At 56.6% G+C, this 19,844-nt stretch overlaps 1 protein-coding gene across 2 annotated transcripts, besides 3 other annotated features; it reads left to right on the top strand.

Annotated features, from left to right (window-relative positions):
* Positions 84-18,112, top strand: SELENON (selenoprotein N). Of its 2 annotated transcripts, NM_020451.3 has the most exons (13): positions 84-304; positions 934-1,051; positions 1,907-2,008; positions 5,033-5,166; positions 8,471-8,680; positions 8,917-9,041; positions 9,574-9,711; positions 11,345-11,426; positions 11,582-11,770; positions 12,578-12,683; positions 13,772-13,884; positions 13,968-14,069; positions 15,439-18,112. In NM_020451.3, exons 1-13 carry the CDS (start codon positions 122-124, stop codon positions 15,607-15,609), a joined length of 1,773 nt encoding a protein of 590 aa, NP_065184.2. In that variant the 5' UTR covers positions 84-121; the 3' UTR covers positions 15,610-18,112. The 2 variants fall into 2 exon arrangements, with proteins under 2 accessions (NP_065184.2, NP_996809.1); NM_206926.2 differs by lacking the exon at positions 1,907-2,008.
* Positions 10,518-11,392: an enhancer, noted in NCBI's record as "H3K4me1 hESC enhancer chr1:26137118-26137992 (GRCh37/hg19 assembly coordinates)". NCBI's record gives its function as "activates a minimal SCP1, AML or CMV promoter by ChIP-STARR-seq in primed H9 embryonic stem cells {active_cell/tissue: H9 hESC(primed)}" and the evidence as "EXISTENCE:reporter gene assay evidence [ECO:0000049][PMID:30033119]".
* Positions 17,888-18,388: an enhancer, noted in NCBI's record as "H3K4me1 hESC enhancer chr1:26144488-26144988 (GRCh37/hg19 assembly coordinates)". NCBI's record gives its function as "activates a minimal SCP1, AML or CMV promoter by ChIP-STARR-seq in naive H9 embryonic stem cells {active_cell/tissue: H9 hESC(naive)}" and the evidence as "EXISTENCE:reporter gene assay evidence [ECO:0000049][PMID:30033119]".
* Positions 19,631-19,820: a silencer, noted in NCBI's record as "silent region_462". NCBI's record gives its function as "represses an Ori minimal core promoter by ATAC-STARR-seq in GM12878 lymphoblastoid cells {active_cell/tissue: GM12878}" and the evidence as "EXISTENCE:reporter gene assay evidence [ECO:0000049][PMID:35858748]".

Here is a 19,844-nt window from a genome sequence, read left to right on the forward strand (position 1 = left end):
CAGCGACCCCCCGCCCAGCCCCTGCGGCCGCCCCGCCCCTCCCCGCCCCGGCCGCCCCGCCCCCGGCCCCGCCCCGCTCTTTCGCTTCCCGGGCCGCCGGCAGCCGCCGCCAGCCGCAGCCATGGGCCGGGCCCGGCCGGGCCAACGCGGGCCGCCCAGCCCCGGCCCCGCCGCGCAGCCTCCCGCGCCACCGCGCCGCCGCGCCCGTTCCCTGGCGCTGCTCGGAGCCCTGCTGGCCGCCGCCGCTGCCGCCGCCGTCCGGGTCTGCGCCCGCCACGCCGAGGCCCAGGCGGCCGCGCGGCAGGTCCGGGCCCGAGCTGGCTGGGGCGGGAGCGCGGGAGCGGGGACTGAAGGACCCAGCCTCGGCAGCAGGGGGGACATGGGCATGGACGAGTCGGGGGAGGCGGAGGGCGGAGGGGGACTGGACGGGAGGGAGCACGGGAAGGAGGGGACACGGGAGGCGGGTGGGGGGTGCCTGGGGCCGGGCTGATGGGGGGAAGGCGAACGGAGGCCAGTGTGGGGCTGGGACAGACTGGAGGGGTCTCTATCCAGAGGGGTGACCTGGACACAGTGAAGCTGGTTCCCGCAGAGTCTTAAAGGGTTACTGGGGAGCCCTGGGACAGTGAGGAGGGGACACAGGAGAGGACAGAAGGTGCAGGAGGAACAGGGCCAAGCAGCCAGGGCCAGGCGGAAGGCGGAGTGGGGACAAACTGGGAGGGGGCAGTCGGACCAGACAGTGGATGAGCAGGGACCAGGAGGGACTGGAGGCTCTGGGGCAGTTCAGAGGCAACATTTGCACAGATGGACCGGGAGGCACTGGGAGAGCTCAGGAAGATGGTGGGAGAAGGGGCTCCATGCGGAAGCAACTGCCTGTTGGGGACCAGGAGACCAGGCCGCCAAATGGTGCCCAGCCCAGTCTCTCCTCCCAAGCAGGAACTGGCGCTGAAGACCCTGGGGACAGATGGCCTTTTTCTCTTTTCCTCCTTGGACACTGACGGGGATATGTACATCAGCCCTGAGGAGTTCAAACCCATTGCTGAGAAGCTAACAGGTACCAGGAGAGACTGGCGGCTGGGGAGGAGGGCGCCTTGGCCAACGGTGTCTTCACTGAGCAGGAGCGGCCGTCTGGAGTGGAGGGAAGCTCGTGGGATCTCAGAGGCCCTGGACTCCTCCCAGCTCTGACACTTTGTAGCTGGTGGCTTGGGCGAGCTGCTCCAGCAACCCCTGAGCCTGTTTTTCTCAGACTTGTGAGCAATAATACCAGCTAACATTCTTTGGTCTGCGAGGTAGCTCACGCCTGTAATCCCAACACTTTGGGAGATGGAAGGATCGCTTGAGCCCAGGAGTTCAAGACCAGCCTGGTCAACATGGCAAAACCCCATCCCTACAAAAATACAAAAATTAGCCGGGTGTGGTGGTGCACACCTGTAGTCCCAGCTACTTGGGAGGCTGAGGTGGGAGGATCACTAGAGGCCATGAGGCAGAGGTTGCAGTGAGTTGACATCACACCACTGCACTCCAGCCTGGGCGACAGAGTGAGACCCTGTCTCAAAACAAACAAACAAAGCAAAACCAAAAAAACAAAAAAACCATTCCTTGGCCACCTCCTCCGTGCCAGGTATTTAAGTATTTCATGTGGGTTCTCTCTTTAAACCTCACAGTAGCCCTGGGAGATGGACACTGTCATGATCCCCATGTTTAATAGTCTGAGAGACTAAGGCACAGGCAGGCTCCCCAGTTTCCCAAGCTAGAAAGGTGCGGAGCCAGGGCTAGAACTGGGGCCATCTGGCTTCAGGGTCCTGCACCAGCTCACAGGTTTCAGTAGAGAAAAGAAATGCACAGTGACGAATATGCAGTAGATTTCCAATAGACAGCAGCTATAACTTTTTTTTTTTTTTTGAGACAGGGTCTTGTTCTGTCACCCAGACTGGAGTGCAGTGGTGCAGTCACAGCTCACTGCAGCCTCAACTTCCCTGGCTCAATTGATCCTCCTGCCTCAGCCTCCTGAGTAAGTGGGACCACAGGCATGTGCTACCACGCCCAGCTGATTTTTCTATTTTTGTAGAGATGCAGTCTCACTACGTTGCCTAGGCTGGTCTCAAATTCCTGGGCTCAAACGATCCTCTTACCTTGGCCTCCCAAAGTGCTGGAATTACAGGTGTGAACCACCGCACCCAGCCAGGAGCTATAACTATCATTACTAAATCTGAAACTTTGCTTAGGTGCTTTCAGATTTCTATTCCATTCTTTGTTGTTGTTGTTGTTGAGATGGAGTCTTCCTCTGTCACCTAGACTGGAGTGCAGTGACATAATCTCAGCTCACTGCAGCTTCTGCCTCCCTGGTTCAAGCAATTCCCCTGCCTCAGCCTTCCCAGGAGCTGGGATTACAGGCACCTACCACCATGCCGGGCTGATTTTGTATTTTTAGTAGAGACGGGGTTTTGCCTTGTTAGCTAGGCTGGTCTCGAACTCCTGACCTCAAGAGATCTGCCCGCCTCAGCCTCCCAAAGTGCTGGGATTACAGGCGTGAGCCACTGTGCCCGGCCTCCTATTCCATTCTTGCTATCATTTTTGCCTAGTGCAGTCAGTGATTATTTATTTATTTATTTGGTTAAAGATGAGGGGCTGAAACATTCTAATGAATTATAAAACGCTTCTCTCGCTGCCCCACCACCACCCTAACCTCTGTGCCCATTTTCTTCCAACTTCTTGTGACGTTTCTTGAACTTAGGATCTTGGACACCTACTTATTACCCAGATTGCCTGGTGTAAGTCAGTCATTGATGGGAAAGGCAAGAGAGACATGCTGGCTGTTTCGGGTGCATAAGCTTCAAAGCGCTGTCACTAGCCTGCTGTTTTTCAGGGGTGTATTGTGTAGGTTGGTTCCGTGCTGGCCCGGTGACCTGTGATCACTGCTAGAGGAGGAAGGTTGGATGAAAAATGCTAATGAGCTGGAGTGGATGTGTATCAATGTCTCTCAGTGGCAGGCAGTTCTGTCATGAAAGCAGATGGGCAGATAAACAGGTCGTCCCCTTGTGGCCTTGCCTGTACTTCTTGTTTTGCATACACTTCTGCGCATTTGCACAGCTACCTCTTTGTCCTTTTTTGTGGCCAGAGTGAGAGTTCTCTCATAATGACATGTTAGCAAAGCTTGAGGTGCACTTTTAATTTTTTGCACAGAAATCTTTTTCTCCATCAGGGTAAAAGAATTCCCCCATTACCTCTAGGCTGTGAATGCAAAAATGGACCAAGTATTGAGAAATCAAAGGGCAGGGGGAATCAAATCCAAGCAGGAAATAGAGCCAACTAGTTCTATTTGGTAGAGTTATGAGAGTGTTTAATTTTCTGCCTTATCCCTTAAAATTTTTACAAATTACCTATAATGGGCAAATGTTACTCATAAGTCAGGAAATAAAACTTTTTATTAAAAAGCCAAAGGGCTGTAAAATGCTGAGTAGTAGTATTATAATTAATAACATTATTACCAACTCCATTTGACAAATGAGAAAGCAAAGGCTCAGAGAGGTGAAGTCCCTTCCCCAGATCATACAGCTAGGTGGTGGGGGCATCATCATTATTATTGGTTTTTGTTTTTTTTGTTTTTTTGTTTTTTTTTTTGAGATGGAGTCTTGCTCTGTCACCCAGGCTGGAGTGCTCGGCTCACTGCAACCTCTGCCTCCCAGGTTCAAGCAATTCTCCTGTCTCAGCCTCCAGAGTAGCTGGGCTGGGATTACAGGGGTGCACCACCATGCCCAGCTAATTTTGGCATTTTTAGTAGAGACGGGGTTTCATCATGTTGGCCAAGCTGGTCTCAAACTCCTAACCTCAGGTGATCCGCCTGCTTCGGCTTCCCAAAGTGCTGGGATTACAGGCATGAGCTGCCTTGGGAATCATTATTATTAATATTTATCTGTGATATCAGTAAAATAATTGAATAAGCAAGGCTTACTAATAACCCTGCATATTCCTGTTGCTCCCTTCTTCTTGGGTTTCTAGATTGCGTTTTGGAAAGTTTTACCTCATTGACTTACAAATACAGAAATAAGTGATTCTTCAGAATAGGGATTTGGATCAGGAGCAGCAGGGAGTGCTCATTAAAAGGGCAGATTCCAGACTCTCACCCCTGCAGATTCTCATTCAGTAGGTCTGAGGTGGGTTGTGAGCATCTGTAGTTTAAAGGCATCCTGGGTGATTTTGAGGACTTCTGGTTGAGAACTGCTTTAATGCATCATTCAGCCTGCTAGCCAGTCAGTCAGCAAATGCCAGGCATCATCTCTGTACCACTACCCTGCCCTGAGAGGGCAGACAGGGCAAGACCCACCCCCGCCCTCCGCTGGCTACACTTTGTTACTGGTGACTATTACTCACCCCTTTTGAAATAGGCGTCATTTGTCCCTTAGCCTTTCAAAATGAATCCTTCTATACTGGGAAGGTTATAGACTTGCCAGATCTCTGAGCAGGAAAAGATCCAAGAAATCAAATCCAGCCACACTGCCAGTCCAGCCCCTCCTACAGCTGGGGCAATGCCCCCCCCGCCCCCCCCCCCCCGCCGCAAAAAAAAAAAAAGCAGGGGAAAGTGGGTCTCCTCACTCTCAAACCAGTGCTCTCCCTATGACACCAAAGAGCCTGTTTCTGTTTCTTGCTTCATTCATTACTCCGGTTCCCTTGACTGAGTTCCTCTCAGTCCCAGAAGACCTAGAAAAGGGTCGTGGTTGGTCATGGGTTTCGAGTAAACAGGCCTGGGTTTCAATCCCGATTCCCCCACCATCTAGCTATGTGACCTGGGGAAGTGACTTTACCTCTCTGAACACTTTCTCATTTGTCAAATGGAGTTGGTAATGTTATTATCTGCCTCCCTGGGCTATCCTGAAACTAAAATGCGATACACTGGTTGTTACTTTGGTGACTGTTAACACCCCAGCTACCCCCACCCCCTGCCTGGCTCCGTTAATCACCAGCTAGTGTGGATGATGAGGGAGAGGTGAGCCCTGTAGCATAAGGGCAGTGCCTCTCCGATGTCTGTGTCTCATAGGGTCAACTCCCGCGGCCAGCTGCGAGGAGGAGGAGTTGCCCCCTGACCCTAGCGAGGAGACGCTCACCATAGAAGCCCGATTCCAGCCTCTGCTCCCGGAGACCATGACCAAGAGCAAAGATGGCTTCCTAGGGGTGAGTTGGGGACCACAGGCAGTGGGGTCATCTGTGTGTATCCCGAAGATGAGTTTCTGCTCCATTCATCCATCTTTCCTCTGCCCTCTGTGTGCCCACTAGAGCCAGGCCCTGGAGGTCCATGTGCGGTGATGTTGTCCCTGCTGTCCAGGCATACAGCCTGCTGGGGGAGCAGGAGAGAGAAGCATTAGCTTCTGCCCCAGACTGGGGAATCTGGGATAGCTTCCTAGAGGAAGTGACATCTGGTAGACTGCAGGATGAGGAGGGCTCAGCAGGGTGACTGAGCACAGGTTGGGGGGGTCTCGGAGGAAGCAGCAGTGCAGTAGAGACCCTGTTAGTGCAGCCGCCCCACATACTATGATGATTATTTCCCACACACTATGATGATTACTTCCCACACATCCATCTCTTCCCCACGGGGCATAGCATGATGCCTGGCTCCTGATAGGTACTCTGTTGAACTCTGATGATCTAGACCTGAGGTTTGGTCCCCAGCAGAGGGCTGTGGGGTGGGGAGGGCACCTGAGAAGGTGGAGGTAGGAGGTGGACAGATGCTCTCCTTGCCAGCCCCTCCCCAACCCAAGGCCCTTTGGACAGGGTCCTGAGCGCATTGCAGGATGAAGCTGCCTCAGCCCCTGCCTGCCCTTTTGCACTCTCTCCCACTCTCTCCTCCCCTCTGTGGGCTTCCTCTGTTCCAACCACACCAGACTTCCTTCCTTCCAAATCCCCAGGCTTTCTTCCAACTGGGAGCCTTCTCACATGTGGTTCCCTCTGCCAGGAACACTGCCTCTCTGTGCCCAGCCCACACAGCCCGACCCAGCCTTTTCATCTCAGCCAATGCCACTTCAGCACGAACAGAGGCCTGAAGGCAGGAGTGCCAGGCTGGTCACTGAGGCCAGGCAGTGGGTGTGTCTGGGCCCAGGGGGCATGCAGGACCCACACAGGGGCATCCCAATCAGTGGGGCCAGGAGAGAAGGTGCCAGACCCCACCAAGGGCTTTGTTGCCTGCCTTTGGCCTTCATTCTATGGTGGCTGAATATCGTGCAGATTTTAAATAAGACAGCTTTCTCATCAGACCTGGGCTCTCCAGGCCAGGGACGGGGCATGTGTAGAATGGGGAGAAGTGGGAGGCAAGAAGACCAGTTCTGGAGGGGAGACGGAGGAGATGGAGAGTAAGGGCAGCCTGGAGGATGCTGGGGAAGGAAGGGCAGGGAGCGGCTCCTCATGGACAGTGGGTGGGCAGGAGTTGGATGACTCAGGCTTCTGGCTGTGACCAGGGGCATGGTGGGCTGCTTGCCCAGATGGGGACTGTAGGCGGGGAGGGAGTAGGGGATAGAGAATGAGGTCAGTCTGCACATGTTGAAGTTGAGGTCCCCAGGGGATGTTGGATGTCTGCTGCCCAGCAGCAGCCCCTTGGCAGTGCCCAACTCTAGAGCCTGGCAGCCACATGGCAAAAGAAACTTGGGAATGACCTTGAGGCTGGCACCTGTGGCGGAATTGCCACCTGGCCCAGCCCAGGGAAGCAGTGCTGGGGAGCCCCTTTCTTTTTTTTTTTTTTTTTTTTGGGACGGAGTCTCGCTCTGTCGCCCAGGCTGGAGTGCAGTGGCGCGATCTCTGCTCACTGCAAGCTCCGCCTCCCGGGTTCAAGCTATTCTCCTGCTTCAGCCTCCCGAGTAGCTGGGACTACAGGTGCCCACCACCACACCCGGCTAATTTCTTTGTATTTTTAGTAGAGACGGGGTTTCACCATGTTGACCAGGATGGTTTCAATCTCCTGACCTCGTGATCCACCTGCCTCGGCCTCCCGAATTATAGGCGTACAGGGATTATAGGGATTACAGGTGTGAGCCACCATGCCCGGCCGGGAGCCCCTTTCTTAACCTCATCGCTGCAGGTTCAGGGAGGGACAGAAATTCCAAGGAGGAGCTCACAGGGAAGGGCATTGCCCGTTTTGGGTCCTGTTTACTTGCCGTCTCCCACTATAAGCTCCAAGAAGACAGGGTGCACAGTGTACCCTGATAGAAACTTCCTATACAGTAGGTGCATAAAACATTTTGTGGAATGAACAAATGAATAAACGTGTTCTTCTCAGCCAAGGAGACAGTGCAGCAGATAGGCAGGAGTCCAGGAAGTGGTCAAAACCGGTCTGACCTTCCACAAAAGGAGATGGGGAACCCATCTCCATGGATTTGGCAGTGATGGGCTGGTCTGAGCAGATAAGTCCGCACAGACAACAAGAACTGGGGTGAGGCAGGAGCAGCACCCCTAGCCCTGGCCCCCGAGCAGAGCCCCAGCAAGCCCAGCACCCATCGCTGGCAGGTCCCCTGCAGGGGGTGGCAAGCCTACAAGCAGGACCCAGGAAGGCGGGCTCGGCCTGGCCCGGCACAGCCAGCTCTGCCTTGAGAACCGCCTGTTAAATCTGTCTCTGTGGGAGCTCCCTGCCTGCTTTCCTCCTACCTCCCACCAAGCCTGAGCTCCTGCTGCCAGGGAGGTGGCGACAGAAGAGGGAATCTGCTGTTCCCCAAATGCTGGCCGACGTGTAGACAGCTCTGTGGTCTCTGAGCGTCCTCTCCGAGCCATCAGCTTGTCAGACAGAGGCGAGGCAGGTCACCGATGAGGACTCGGGCTTAGGGAAGGCCTTTTGCCCAGGGTGGGGCAGGCTGTACTTAAGGCAGGGCCCTTCTGGGGGTGGCCTTCCTTCCCCTTCCCTGTGGTCTCATCCTGCTCTTGACCCTAGAGATTTCACCTCAAACATGATTGGCCACCACCCTCATCGGACTTAGCTCCAAACCGAAACCCTGAGCTGGCCAGTGGGACATTAGTCCCTGGGAGGAGACTTGGAGAGGAGACTGGGGAGGGAGAGTAGGGCTGCTGGAGGGCCAGGGAAGCCAGGCAGGGTGGTGGCACCCAAGGCTGGCCCATGGGCTTATGCATAGGATGGAGGTGGGACTATGTGAGGCACAGAGCCCCACCATCCCCATTCCAACCTTGCCCTCGAGCGAGCTGCTCTGGCCTGGGCTGCGCCTGGGTGGGCTGTGCCTGGGTGGGCTGTGCCTGGGTGGGCTGTGCCTGGGTGGGCTGTGCCTGGGTGGGCTGCAGAGGCACTGCAGCAGGGAGAGGAGCCTCTCTCTGGCGGGATATTGCTAAGCTTGTGGCCATCATAAGGGCAGGAACCTCCCTGGGGTCCATCTGCTCCCTTGGTGTGGGCTGGCTCGGGGCTTGAGGGAGACCTCCACCCACATGGTACAGGAGACCCCGGAGTCAGGTTCTCAGATTCCTGGAGCTTTGCTTTCCCCCGCCCCAGGTCTCCCGCCTCGCCCTGTCCGGCCTCCGAAACTGGACAGCCGCCGCCTCACCAAGTGCAGTGTTTGCCACCCGCCACTTCCAGCCCTTCCTTCCCCCGCCAGGCCAGGAGCTGGGTGAGCCCTGGTGGATCATCCCCAGTGAGCTGAGCATGTTCACTGGCTACCTGTCCAACAACCGCTTCTATCCACCGCCGCCCAAGGGCAAGGAGGTGAGGACAGCTGGGGTGCGACGTGGGGCCCCTCCGCCCGAGCCCAGGAGTGGCCACCCCTCTGTCTGCGCCTGGACCCCAGTGCCAGGCCTGCTCCACCTGCTCTCCTGCCTTCCTCTGGACCTGCCCCCTCCCCATGGGGCCCCTGGGCCGTCGGGTCTGGGCTGACCCCCACCCCAGCGGATCCAGGCCCAGCGGGACCCAGCAAGCCAGTACGTGCCTCCCGCCGCCCCCAGGTCATCATCCACCGGCTCCTGAGCATGTTCCACCCTCGGCCCTTTGTGAAGACCCGCTTTGCCCCTCAGGGAGCTGTGGCCTGCCTGACTGCCATCAGCGACTTCTACTACACTGTGATGTTCCGGTGAGTGGGCCACACTGGCTGGCCTGGAGCACCGGGGAGGCATGACGGTACAGCGCCCAGAGGGGAGGGCCCAGCTTGAGCCCCCCAGCTCCACCTCTCCTCCCACTGCCGTCTTGGGCAAGCAGCTTTGGCTCTCTGAGCCTCAGTTTTCTCACCTGTGGATCCGGGTGCTGATGACTTCCTCGTAAGGCACGTGAGGGTTCAGAAAGAAAAGTTGTGGAACTTGCTTGGCACGGGGCTGGTAGCCATGGTTGTGCCATCCACACAGAAGTGGGAAGGACACCCAGTCACACATGCCCTCCAGAAGCTGTGAAGGCTGGGGGAGGGGGTCCAGGCAGGGCTTCCAGAGGAGGGGCATGTGACCCGGGCCTCGAAGGATGAGCAGCATTTGGAGAGCCTCGCTGCTGCCCACTGGCCCATCCACCTCCACCCCCACACTCAGCCTCCTCTCCCTGATGATTCTGGCCAAGGCTTCCCGGGCTCCTGGGGAGAAGGTGGGCAGCTCTGGTGCAGCAGATCCCCTTCCCCACAGGATCCATGCCGAGTTCCAGCTCAGTGAGCCGCCCGACTTCCCCTTTTGGTTCTCCCCTGCTCAGTTCACCGGCCACATCATCCTCTCCAAAGACGCCACCCACGTCCGCGACTTCCGGCTCTTCGTGCCCAACCACAGGTGGGAGCTTGACCCTGGCCCAGCCTTGGCTCCCTCCTACAGCTTGTCCTGCTCCCCAGCTCCAGGAGCCTAGGGGCCTCTTCTGTCTCTGCCCCTTCCTTTGCTCCCCAGAGCCCATCTCATGGGGCTGACGTGGCAGGAGGCGGCATGAGGCAGGCAAGAGAATGAGCTGATCACCCACCAGCTCTTCCCAGGCACCCGTGGCCTGGCCCTCCACCTCTGTGCCTGGGACCCAGTGCAGCAGTCCGCAGACCCTTCCTGAAGCTGGGCCTCCCCGCCCTCATACTGCTGACAGGCCCCAGGCAGAGCTGTAACCGCAGCCTGTGCACGCCACCAAGAGGAAGGCCAGCAGCTAGGCAGGGACCCAGCTGTGGGGTCCAGGAAGGCTTCCCAGAAGAAAAAGGTCATCTCAGCAGAGATCAGGGCTCTGAGGGTTTTGCTGGGCAGAGGAACAGCACATCCAAAGGCCAAGGGCAGGCCCTCCACTGCTGCAGAGCCCCAGAGGGGCTTCCGGGACGGTGCTACACCAGCCACCTGCTTGCCTCACCTCCTCAGGGCTGGCCACCTGTCAGCAGAGTAGAGGACCCCGGAGGCCCTGGCTTCAAGTTTGTCCAGATTCCTAACTGATAGCAAGTGGCCACCGAGTGGGCCTGAGTGACCGCTCTACAGGGATGAGACCTGGCTGGGAGCCAGGAGGTCTGCAGTTAAGTCTCTGCTGTGGAACCCATTGGCTGTGTGGCTGTGGGCAAGGCCCTGGCCCTCTGTAGGCCTGTTTCCTCATCTGCCGGATGGGAGACTGACTCCTGGCCTACTTCACCCACAGGGCAGGCGTGAGAGGATGGTCGGGATAACATGGGAAGAGAAAATTGCCCCTAGGAGTGGGGGTGGCTTCCCTCCCTCCCCAGAGTGGGAAGGGCAGGGGCTTCCCGGTCAAAGGGAAAAGGAAGAGGAGGGCACAAGCCCTCCATCTGCTCACCTAGGGCTGGGCACACCTGCCTCCATCGCAGGGTTGTTGAGGAGGGGGCCTGGACTGTATGGGACAGGAGGAGAGAGGCAGTGGCCAGCTCCAGGACCAGCTGTTCCTGGGCTCATGTCTGAGGACCAGGCACCAGGGACTGCTGACCCCCGGGGGTTACCTAGCTCTGCCCTCTGTGCCCCCTGCTGCGGAGGTGGTGGTTTGCCAGTGCTGGGGCTCCCTCGTGCGGCGGATCTGCAGATTGCACTGCTCGGCTCAGATTTCCTGCTGCCCGCCAGAGGCCTGTGCAGGGACCACGGTGCTCGTTTTCATTCCTGCCCCACCCTGTGACCCGCCTTGAGGCACTGGCCATCTCTCTGCTTCAAAGGGTCCTGGAGAGTACACGGGCCATGGCTGTGCAGGCCCTTTGTGAATTGCGAGGGGCAGGGCTGGCGGATGGTGAAGTGGCTCCAGTGCCTTAGGAAGGGGCAGCCTGGTGGGGAAGAGGGCCAGGGCTCTGCAGCCAGAATCCCAGTGGCTCTGAGAGCAGGTGTTCACCTTGAGAAACCTCAGTGTCCTCATCTGGAAAGTGGAGACAGTTGCAGGTATTATGTGAGATAAAGTGTGACACAGATAATGGGCTTTGATGATGGTGTCACTCTGCCCTGGCCATCCCAGGTCTCTGAATGTGGACATGGAGTGGCTTTACGGGGCCAGTGAAAGCAGCAACATGGAGGTGGACATCGGCTACATACCCCAGGTGAGCGCACAGGAGGCTCCCATCCAGGTGGGCTCGGCTGCAGGGCCCCGCCCTCCCTCTGCAATGAGTGGAGCATTTTGGAGGGTCTCTAGGGGAGCCCCTGAGGATTCTTGCCCATCTCTGAGCCTTCCCCCTACCACTGACCTCTGGCCCAGATGGAGCTGGAGGCCACGGGCCCCTCTGTGCCCTCCGTGATCCTGGATGAGGATGGCAGCATGATCGACAGCCACCTGCCTTCAGGGGAGCCCCTGCAGTTTGTGTTTGAGGAGATCAAGTGGCAGCAGGAGCTGAGCTGGGAGGAGGCTGCCCGGCGCCTGGAGGTGGCCATGTACCCCTTCAAGAAGGTGAGGCTGGGCAGGGGTGAAGGCCAGGGTCAGGCTGCATGGGCAGAGGCTGGGAGCTGTGGAGCAGCAGCTGGGCACAGACGCTGGTATGTGTGCAGGGCTTGCTACTGAGGCTGTCTCACTGTTGGGCCCAGCTGTGCCAGCGGGGCCTCCCCGCTGCCATTCAGAACTTGGAGGAAGAGGCCAGGTGCAATGGCTCATGCCTATAATCCAAAACTTTGGGAGGCTGAGGCAGAGAATCACTTGTGGCCAGGAGTTCAAGAGCAATCTGGGCAACATAGCGAGACCCCATATCTACAAAAGAATTTTTTTAATTACCTGGGGGTGGTGGTAGCACGCACCTGTAGTACCAAAGCTTTGGGGAGGCTGAGGCAGGAGGACTGTTTGAGCCCAGGAGTTCAAGGCTGCAATGAGCTATGATTGCGCCACTGCACTCCAGCCTGGGCAACAGAGTGAGACTCCATCTCAAAATAAAAAATAAATGAAAATAATAATAATAAATAGAACTTGGAGGAGACATCCATCCCCTGGCTTAGTAGCACCCACTTCACACACATACAAACACACACACTAACATATATATACACACACACATACACACATATACAAACATACACAAACATATATACACATACAAATGTACATATACACAGACATACACACAAATATATATGCCTACACACAAACACACACACACACACACACACACACACACACACACACACACTTGCACACACTACAGACTCAGCCCGAGTGGGACCCTGGCCGCTTTGATGATGGCTTCGCTCTGTCTCGGTGTGGCCCCAGGTCTCCTACTTGCCGTTCACTGAGGCCTTCGACCGAGCCAAGGCTGAGAACAAGCTGGTGCACTCAATCCTGCTGTGGGGGGCCCTGGATGACCAGTCCTGCTGAGGTGAGGGGCCCGGCTGGATCTAAGGGGAGCAGTGGGAAAGTCCACACCTTGTGGGGTACCAGAGGCTCTGAGACCAATGGGACTCTTCTGTTGAGTTGTGAGGGCCTCAGGGACTGCCCATGGTAGGGGCGTGGGGTGAGGGCTTGGGGGTTTCTGTGCTGAGCCCAGAGGGAGCTACCAGATGCTGAAGAAAGGGCCCTGGCAGACTGGGTTCAAACTCAGCCATTGTCAGCTTGGTAACCTTGACCAAGTGTCTTCCCCTCTGTGAGCCTCAGTTTTCTCAATAGTAAGAGGGGATAACACACTTACCTCTCATAGCTGTGGACATGGAGGTGAAAGTGCCGCATACACTGTAAAGTGTTATATACGTGTAAGAGAAAAAATCGGGCCAGAGGCTGGGCTTGTGTTAATTGATTCAGGAAATTCACCAGAGGCCCCCTAGATGCAACGTCCTTTGGGTGTCTGGCAGTGGGCACAAAGATGAACAAAACAGTGCCCCACCCTCACCCCGTCAACCGTCAGTGCAGCAGTGGGCTGGGTGCTTGCGTCCCACAGTGAGGAAGGCAGAAGGGGTCCCTGCCCTCAAAGGGGGAGACACAGTGCAAAGGCAGACACCAAATGAGTCAGTACAAGCACGGTGAGTGTTCTACAGGGGACAGTCCAGAGTGGCACCAGAGTGTATAACTGGGGGTCAGGGAAGGCTTTGTGAAGACAGTGATATTTACGCTGAGACTTTGAAGGATGAGTAGGAGTTTCTCAAGTGACCGGATGGAGTGTTCCAGGTAGAGGAACAGCCTGTGTGAAGGCCCTGGGACACAGAGCGTTCATTGGATTTAAGAAGCTGTCACTGTCTGCAAGTCCCCAGGGCCAGGTAGAACCCCTAACCCTAATCTCAGCCCAGGATGCTGGTATATTATTGATGTTAATTCCAACTATCATTTATTCAGCACCTACTCTACCTCAGGCTCTTTGAATCTGTTATTTCACTTGGGTGCAGAGACTGTCCTGCAGCCCGTGAGGTCTCCCCAAAGCAAGATTGCACCCCAGCAAGATGTGGGGGCGCCTCACCCTTCTGTCTTCCTGAACAGGTTCAGGGCGGACTCTCCGGGAGACTGTCCTGGAAAGTTCGCCCATCCTCACCCTGCTCAACGAGAGCTTCATCAGCACCTGGTCCCTGGTGAAGGAGCTGGAGGAACTGCAGGTGAGCGGGCAGGTGGCAGGAACAGGAGCGTCCGGAACAGTGGTGGGGGCCGCGGCATCAGGAGTGTGCAACTGTCCCCACAGAACAACCAGGAGAACTCGTCCCACCAGAAGCTGGCTGGCCTGCACCTGGAGAAGTACAGCTTCCCCGTGGAGATGATGATCTGCCTGCCCAATGGCACCGTGGTAGGCACCCCCACTCAGACCCCACAGGGCCCAGGCACCTCGGGGCCCCGGGAGCAACCAGCAGGAGGCGTGGATGTGCAGACTTCATCAGGCTTCGGGACTGTCCCTGCCACTTCCTGGCTGCAAAGCCTCAAGCTGGTCTCTTACCCAGTCTAAGCCTCCGTTGTCCCCGTGTAGAAACAGGAATCGTGATGCAGGTGTTGGTCATCGGGGGCTGCGCAGCAGTGAGCATAGTCCTGAGGCAGAGTCAGCGCCTCCCTAGAAACACAGCCTGGAAGGGAAGGCTCACCTTGGACCATGGCGGCCAGTCCTGGGATGGAAGGGGAGGGAGGAGCCAGGCCTTGTGACAGAGACCAGGAGAGGGCCCTGAGCCAAGATTCAAGACCCCACCTCTCCCTAAGGGCCCCTTACCTAGCACTCAGCAAGTCTTCTCACTGGGGCCTCACAGCAGCTTTGGGAGATGGATGGTCATGAATACCCATTTTATAAACAAGGAGGCCCAGAAAGTTGAGAGACTGGACAAATGTTGCAGTCAATTAAGTGCAGCTGGCTTTGAACCGAGGCCTGCCCTTGAGCCTCAGATCTCCAGCTCTTCTGATCAAAGCGACCCCTCATCCTTTAAGTCCCAAGGCATGGTTAGTGTGGGACCCAGGGCTGTAGGAGGGGGCCGGCTTCCTCAGGATCTTAGGATGGGAGCAGTTCAGGAGCAGGGGCTGTCACGGGAGAGGTGTCCAGTGAGGGTTTGGTGTAAAGGAAAGGGCACCAGGCGGAAGGCATCTGCTGTCCCAGGCGCAAGGGTGATGAGATGGTGTCGGGGAACTGGATGAGGCTGGGCCTGGTTGGGAGAACCAGGCCTCCCATTCATATGAATGTTGATTGAATGCTGATTCATTCATTTGTTCATCTACTGGGCACCTACTGTGTGCCAGGCACAAAGATAAAGACACAGCCCCGTGCTGAAGGAGCTCAGTCTCTGGAGCGAGAGGCCAAAGGAGAGGCCCATTGAATGTGAGGCTGCAGTGAGAGAAGGGAGCACGGAGTTCAGGATGGGAGTCCGGGGTCACAGGAACAGAGGAGAGGGGTCATTTCGGGGGGCGGGGGCAGAGGGCTAGTAGAAGAGGTGATGTTGGAAGGTGTTGGGTTTTCACTTGGTAGGCAAGGCAGGGAGGAGCCCCCTCGTCAGACACAGGGTGATGAGATGGTGTCGGGTGCTGGCGAGGGCTTACGGCAGCACTGCCTGCCCACCATCCACCTCAGACAAGGACAGTCAAGGCCTGATAGCATCCCTGCTTCTCCCCATAGAAGAGAGGGCACAGGGAGCCTGGGGGCCCCCCTCCGCCCCACTTGCCTCACCCGGCCCTTCTCCCAGGTCCATCACATCAATGCCAACTACTTCTTGGACATCACCTCCGTGAAGCCCGAGGAAATCGAGAGCAATCTCTTCAGCTTCTCATCCACCTTTGAAGACCCGTCCACGGCCACCTACATGCAGTTCCTGAAGGAGGGACTCCGGCGTGGCCTGCCCCTCCTCCAGCCCTAGAGTGCCTGGACGGGATCTGATGCACAGGCCCCCACGCCTCAGAGCCAGAGTGGTCCTCAGCCCATTTCAGACTGCAGATGCCGCCCACTCCCACCCCACTCCTAGGCTGCCTTGGAGGGTACAAGATCCACTGAGGGTGGCCACCACAGCCTTGGCTCCATGGTGGCGGGTAGACAAGGGATGCCTGGGCTGACTGGGCAGAGGAACCTCTAGCTCTGACTGTCACTCGGCTCTCCCTACCCATTTGGCTCTGGAAGCTGCTTGGCCCCCCCAGATCAGGGCCTGGGTGAACTCCCTGGACCTTTCCTAGCCAGCCGCACAGTCTAGGCCCTTGTGGGGTGAAGAATGGAGGGAGGAGCAGGCTAGGAAGACGGGGCCACCACCCTCTCCTTGCTTTCAGCCCTTCCCACAGGAAACATCAAGAAGCCCCAGCCAGGAGGGGCCAGGCTGCCAAGGCGGCTCCCCTGTTTATCTAGAGCCTTCGTTCCTGGCCATACCCCGGACTGCCCTCCTGTGCCTGATGTCCCCAGCTGGGGTCAGTCTCAACAGGAGCCAGTCTTCTGGAGCCTCTGGGCAGAACCCTCCATCAGAGTGGAAATCAGACGGGACCCCCTGCAGCTTCCCTGACCACGCCACTGACCAGCTATCTGGGGAAGTTTACTGTGAAGGGGTTTCTGCCTTTAGCAATGGGGTTCACTAAGGGGGTTCCCGAGGCCCAGGGCCAAGGCACTCCCACCGCCTACCTTAGCACAGGGTCTCTGCAGGACTGCGGGAGCCAGCGCTCCTGCCGCCCCTCTTGCCCCTCAGACCTTGCATCCACAGAAGCACAACCCAGCCAAACACCACAGCCTTCTCCAGAGCCGGCACTGTCCCGGCAACCAGGGGTGCCCCAGGCTAGCTCTTCTACCTCTGGGGCACCACGGACTCCCCTTGGCCACTCTTGGGACTTTGGTCCACGTCCTGAGCCACTGACCACGGCCAGTCTCTCTTTTTATATGTGCAGAAAAGTGTTTTTACACAAACTTTCTCATGGTTTGTAGGTATTTTTTTATAACCCCAGTGCTGAGGAGAAAGGAGGGGCAGTGGCTTCCCCGGCAGCAGCCCCATGATGGCTGAATCCGAAATCCTCGATGGGTCCAGCTTGATGTCTTTGCAGCTGCACCTATGGGAAGAAGTAGTCCTCTCTTCCTTCTCCTCTTCAGCTTTTTAAAAACAGTCCTCAGAGGATCCATGATCCCCAGCACTGTCCCATCCTCCACAAAGGCCCACAGGCATGCCTGTACTCTCTTTCATTAAGGTCTTGAAGTCAGGCTGCCCCCTCCCCAGCCCCCAGTTCTCTCCCCACCCCCTCACCCCACCCGGGGCTCACTCAGCCTGGCAGAGGAAGAAGGAAGGCAGACATCTCCGCAGCCACTCCTGGGCCTTTTATGTGCCGAGTTACCCCACTTGCCTTGGGCGTGTCCACTGAGCCTTCCCCAGCCAGTCTTGTTCTCAATTTTGTTTTGTTTTGTTTTGAGACGGAGTCTTGCTCTGTCACCCAGGCTGGAGTGCTATGGCTCGATCTTGGCTCACTGCAACCTCCACCTCCCAGGTTCAAGCAATTCTCTTGCCTCAGCCTCCCGAGTAGCTGGGATTACAGGTGCATGCCACCATGGCTGGCTAATTTTTGTATTTTTAGTAGAGATGGGGTTTCACCATATTGGTCAGGCTGATCTGGAACTTCTGACCTCAGGTGATCCACCTGCCTCAGCCTCCCAAAGTGCTGGGATTACAGGCGTGAGCAATCGTGCCCAGCCTTGTTCTTAATTTTGTATCATCCAGTCATCGCTAATATTACACGCACCTTCTCACTTAATCCTCACGACAAGCCTGTGAGGCAGATGCTCATTGTTCCCATCTTGATGAAACTTGAGTCTCAGGGAAGTGAAGTGACTTGCCCAGGGTCACTCAGGTAGAGTTGAGATTCAAACCCACATGTGGCTCCAAAGTCTGCATCTGGATTTGGGGGTGTTTTTTGGCATGGCACCCTCACCTCTCTCCCTGCCTGTTTTCCCCAAAGTGGAAAGGAAGGCCTTTCAAACCAGAGTGTCTCACTCCCCTCTGACCTCCAGACCAGATGGGGCATGAGCCAGCCAGCTCAGCCAGGCTCCCTGTGTCCTGGGAGGAAGTGTCCCCATCCCCCATGCCCCTTATGGGGAGGGAGGGCGTCTGATGCTCTCTCTCTGCCTCCCCCCCCATCCTGTCAGGCACAGGTGACGGGGGCAGCCCATGCGAGCCCTTCTCCTGCTGCTCTGGGAGGGCCAGTTCCACATTGAGCCAGCCTGGTCCCATGGAAAATGATGGCCTGGGCTTTCTGAGGCCTTATCTGATGCCTCTGCAGTTCATGTCCCCCACCAGGCCTCGAGGCTCAGGGTGGGAGAGGGCCCCGGGCTGCCCTGTCACTCCTCTAACACTTCCCTCCCCTGTCCCCAACATGCCCTGTAATAAAATTAGAGAAGACTAACTAGAGTGGTTCTAAGTGCTTTTCCTTTGAGTGGCATGTTGCTCAGCTCCGTCCTTCCATGGGGTGGCTCCCTCTTGGGGCAGAGTTGAGCTGGAATGCTTTCAGGTACTATCTTACCTATCGAAGGCTTGAGTGACTTGCCCAAAATAAGTTTTACGATAGAACAAGTGGTAGGACTTACTGTTTTGAGAATCTGGTGCTCTCTGTTGAGAGAGATCTGGGAGTTAAAATCATTGTCTTAAAAGCAGAGCCTGAGACAGGCATGAAGTGTTTTTTTGTTTGTTTGTTTTGTTTGTTTGGTGGGGCTGGGGGGGAGTGTACTTCCAGAAAAACCAGTAAAAGAAGGAAGGAAGCAGAAGAGGGAAAGGAAAAATGCTGAGCAGGAACAGTCTCAGCCCAGCCTTGGCCTGACCCACAGTGGAAGAGCTGTGGGGCATAAACCACACTGCAGAGCTGAACTGGCCTTTTGGACCTTTTATCAGTCATTGGCTTGGGAGGTGAAGGAAATTCCCAGGTAGGGAGCTCCGTTCTTCCTGCAAGGGGATCTGAGTGGGACACCAAATCAGCATCTACACCCAGGACAGACAGCCAGCGTGGACTTGCATGATCCGCCATCGCACAGGAGGGAAAGGTAATGATTAAAACACAATGTGCCATCCTGGGAAGAGGGCCAGACCTGGAAGTCAATCTTCAGCGTTTGAGATATGGTGGAGATCAGGGTGGACGACCTCTGAGGTCTCTAGCCAGGACCAGTCACATAATTTGCACAGCCCCGTGCAAAATGAAAACACAAGAACCCCTATTAGAAAATCATTTCAAGACGGCAACAGCAAAGTACTAAACCAAGTACAGGATTCTGAGCATGCGGCCCGTTGTGACTGCATGGGCTGTTCACCCATGAAACCAGCTCTGTCTCTGGCAGAGGGGACTGCAGGCTTTGGAACCAAGGAACTCCAGCCTGGGAGCCAGGCACAGCCCGAGGCTGTGCTGAAGGCAGAGAAGGAAATGTGACCCAGGAACTGCATGCCACAGACCAAGACAGTGAGGGCTGGAGCACAAAGAGGGAGTGGGTTAGTGAGCCTGGAAGGAATGTGGCTCTTCCCACAGAGCCTCTGGAGTCTTGTACATCAAGTACCCATCTAATAAGCAAACTCATTGAATATACCGTGTGTGTGTGTGTGTGTGTGTGTGTGTGTGTGTGTGTGTGTGAGAGAGAGAGAGAGAGGCTAAAATAGAAGAAAGCTGCAAAGTGCTGGAGGGCAGGAGTCAAGAGGAGAAAGAGGCCCATTCTGCGCATTCTTGCTGGAGAGAGGCTTTGCAAAGGGACCTGCCTGGGAACCAAGAACTGGGAAGGGGGCCAGGGTGAGGATTCTGAAGTTTGCCCTAGGGGTAGGAGCATATTTTAGGGGTCGAGCGACACACCCCTGGGCTTCCAGAAGTCGGATGGGGCTAAACGTGGAGAGCAACAAGCAGGGAGACGCGACGAATACCAGGCCGAGGGATCTCCAAACGCAGCCAACTCCTCCCGGGGACACAGACCCCGCGGGGGCACGGTCTCGATGGAGGGGAGTGTGCTCCGCGGTATCGGAGCCTACAGCCGCCAGCGCCTCGCCCACTCGGGGGCCGCGCTCCCCTCGCCACCGAGCTGGACCCGCCTCCTGAGGGTGCGCGGAGGTGCGCCTCGGTGCGCAGCTGCGGAGGATCGCTTCCGGGGGGCGGGTCAGCGGAAGTG

This window comes from Homo sapiens, chromosome 1, assembly GCF_000001405.40.
Source record: "Homo sapiens chromosome 1, GRCh38.p14 Primary Assembly".
In the NCBI taxonomy this organism is placed as follows: domain Eukaryota; kingdom Metazoa; phylum Chordata; class Mammalia; order Primates; family Hominidae; genus Homo; species Homo sapiens.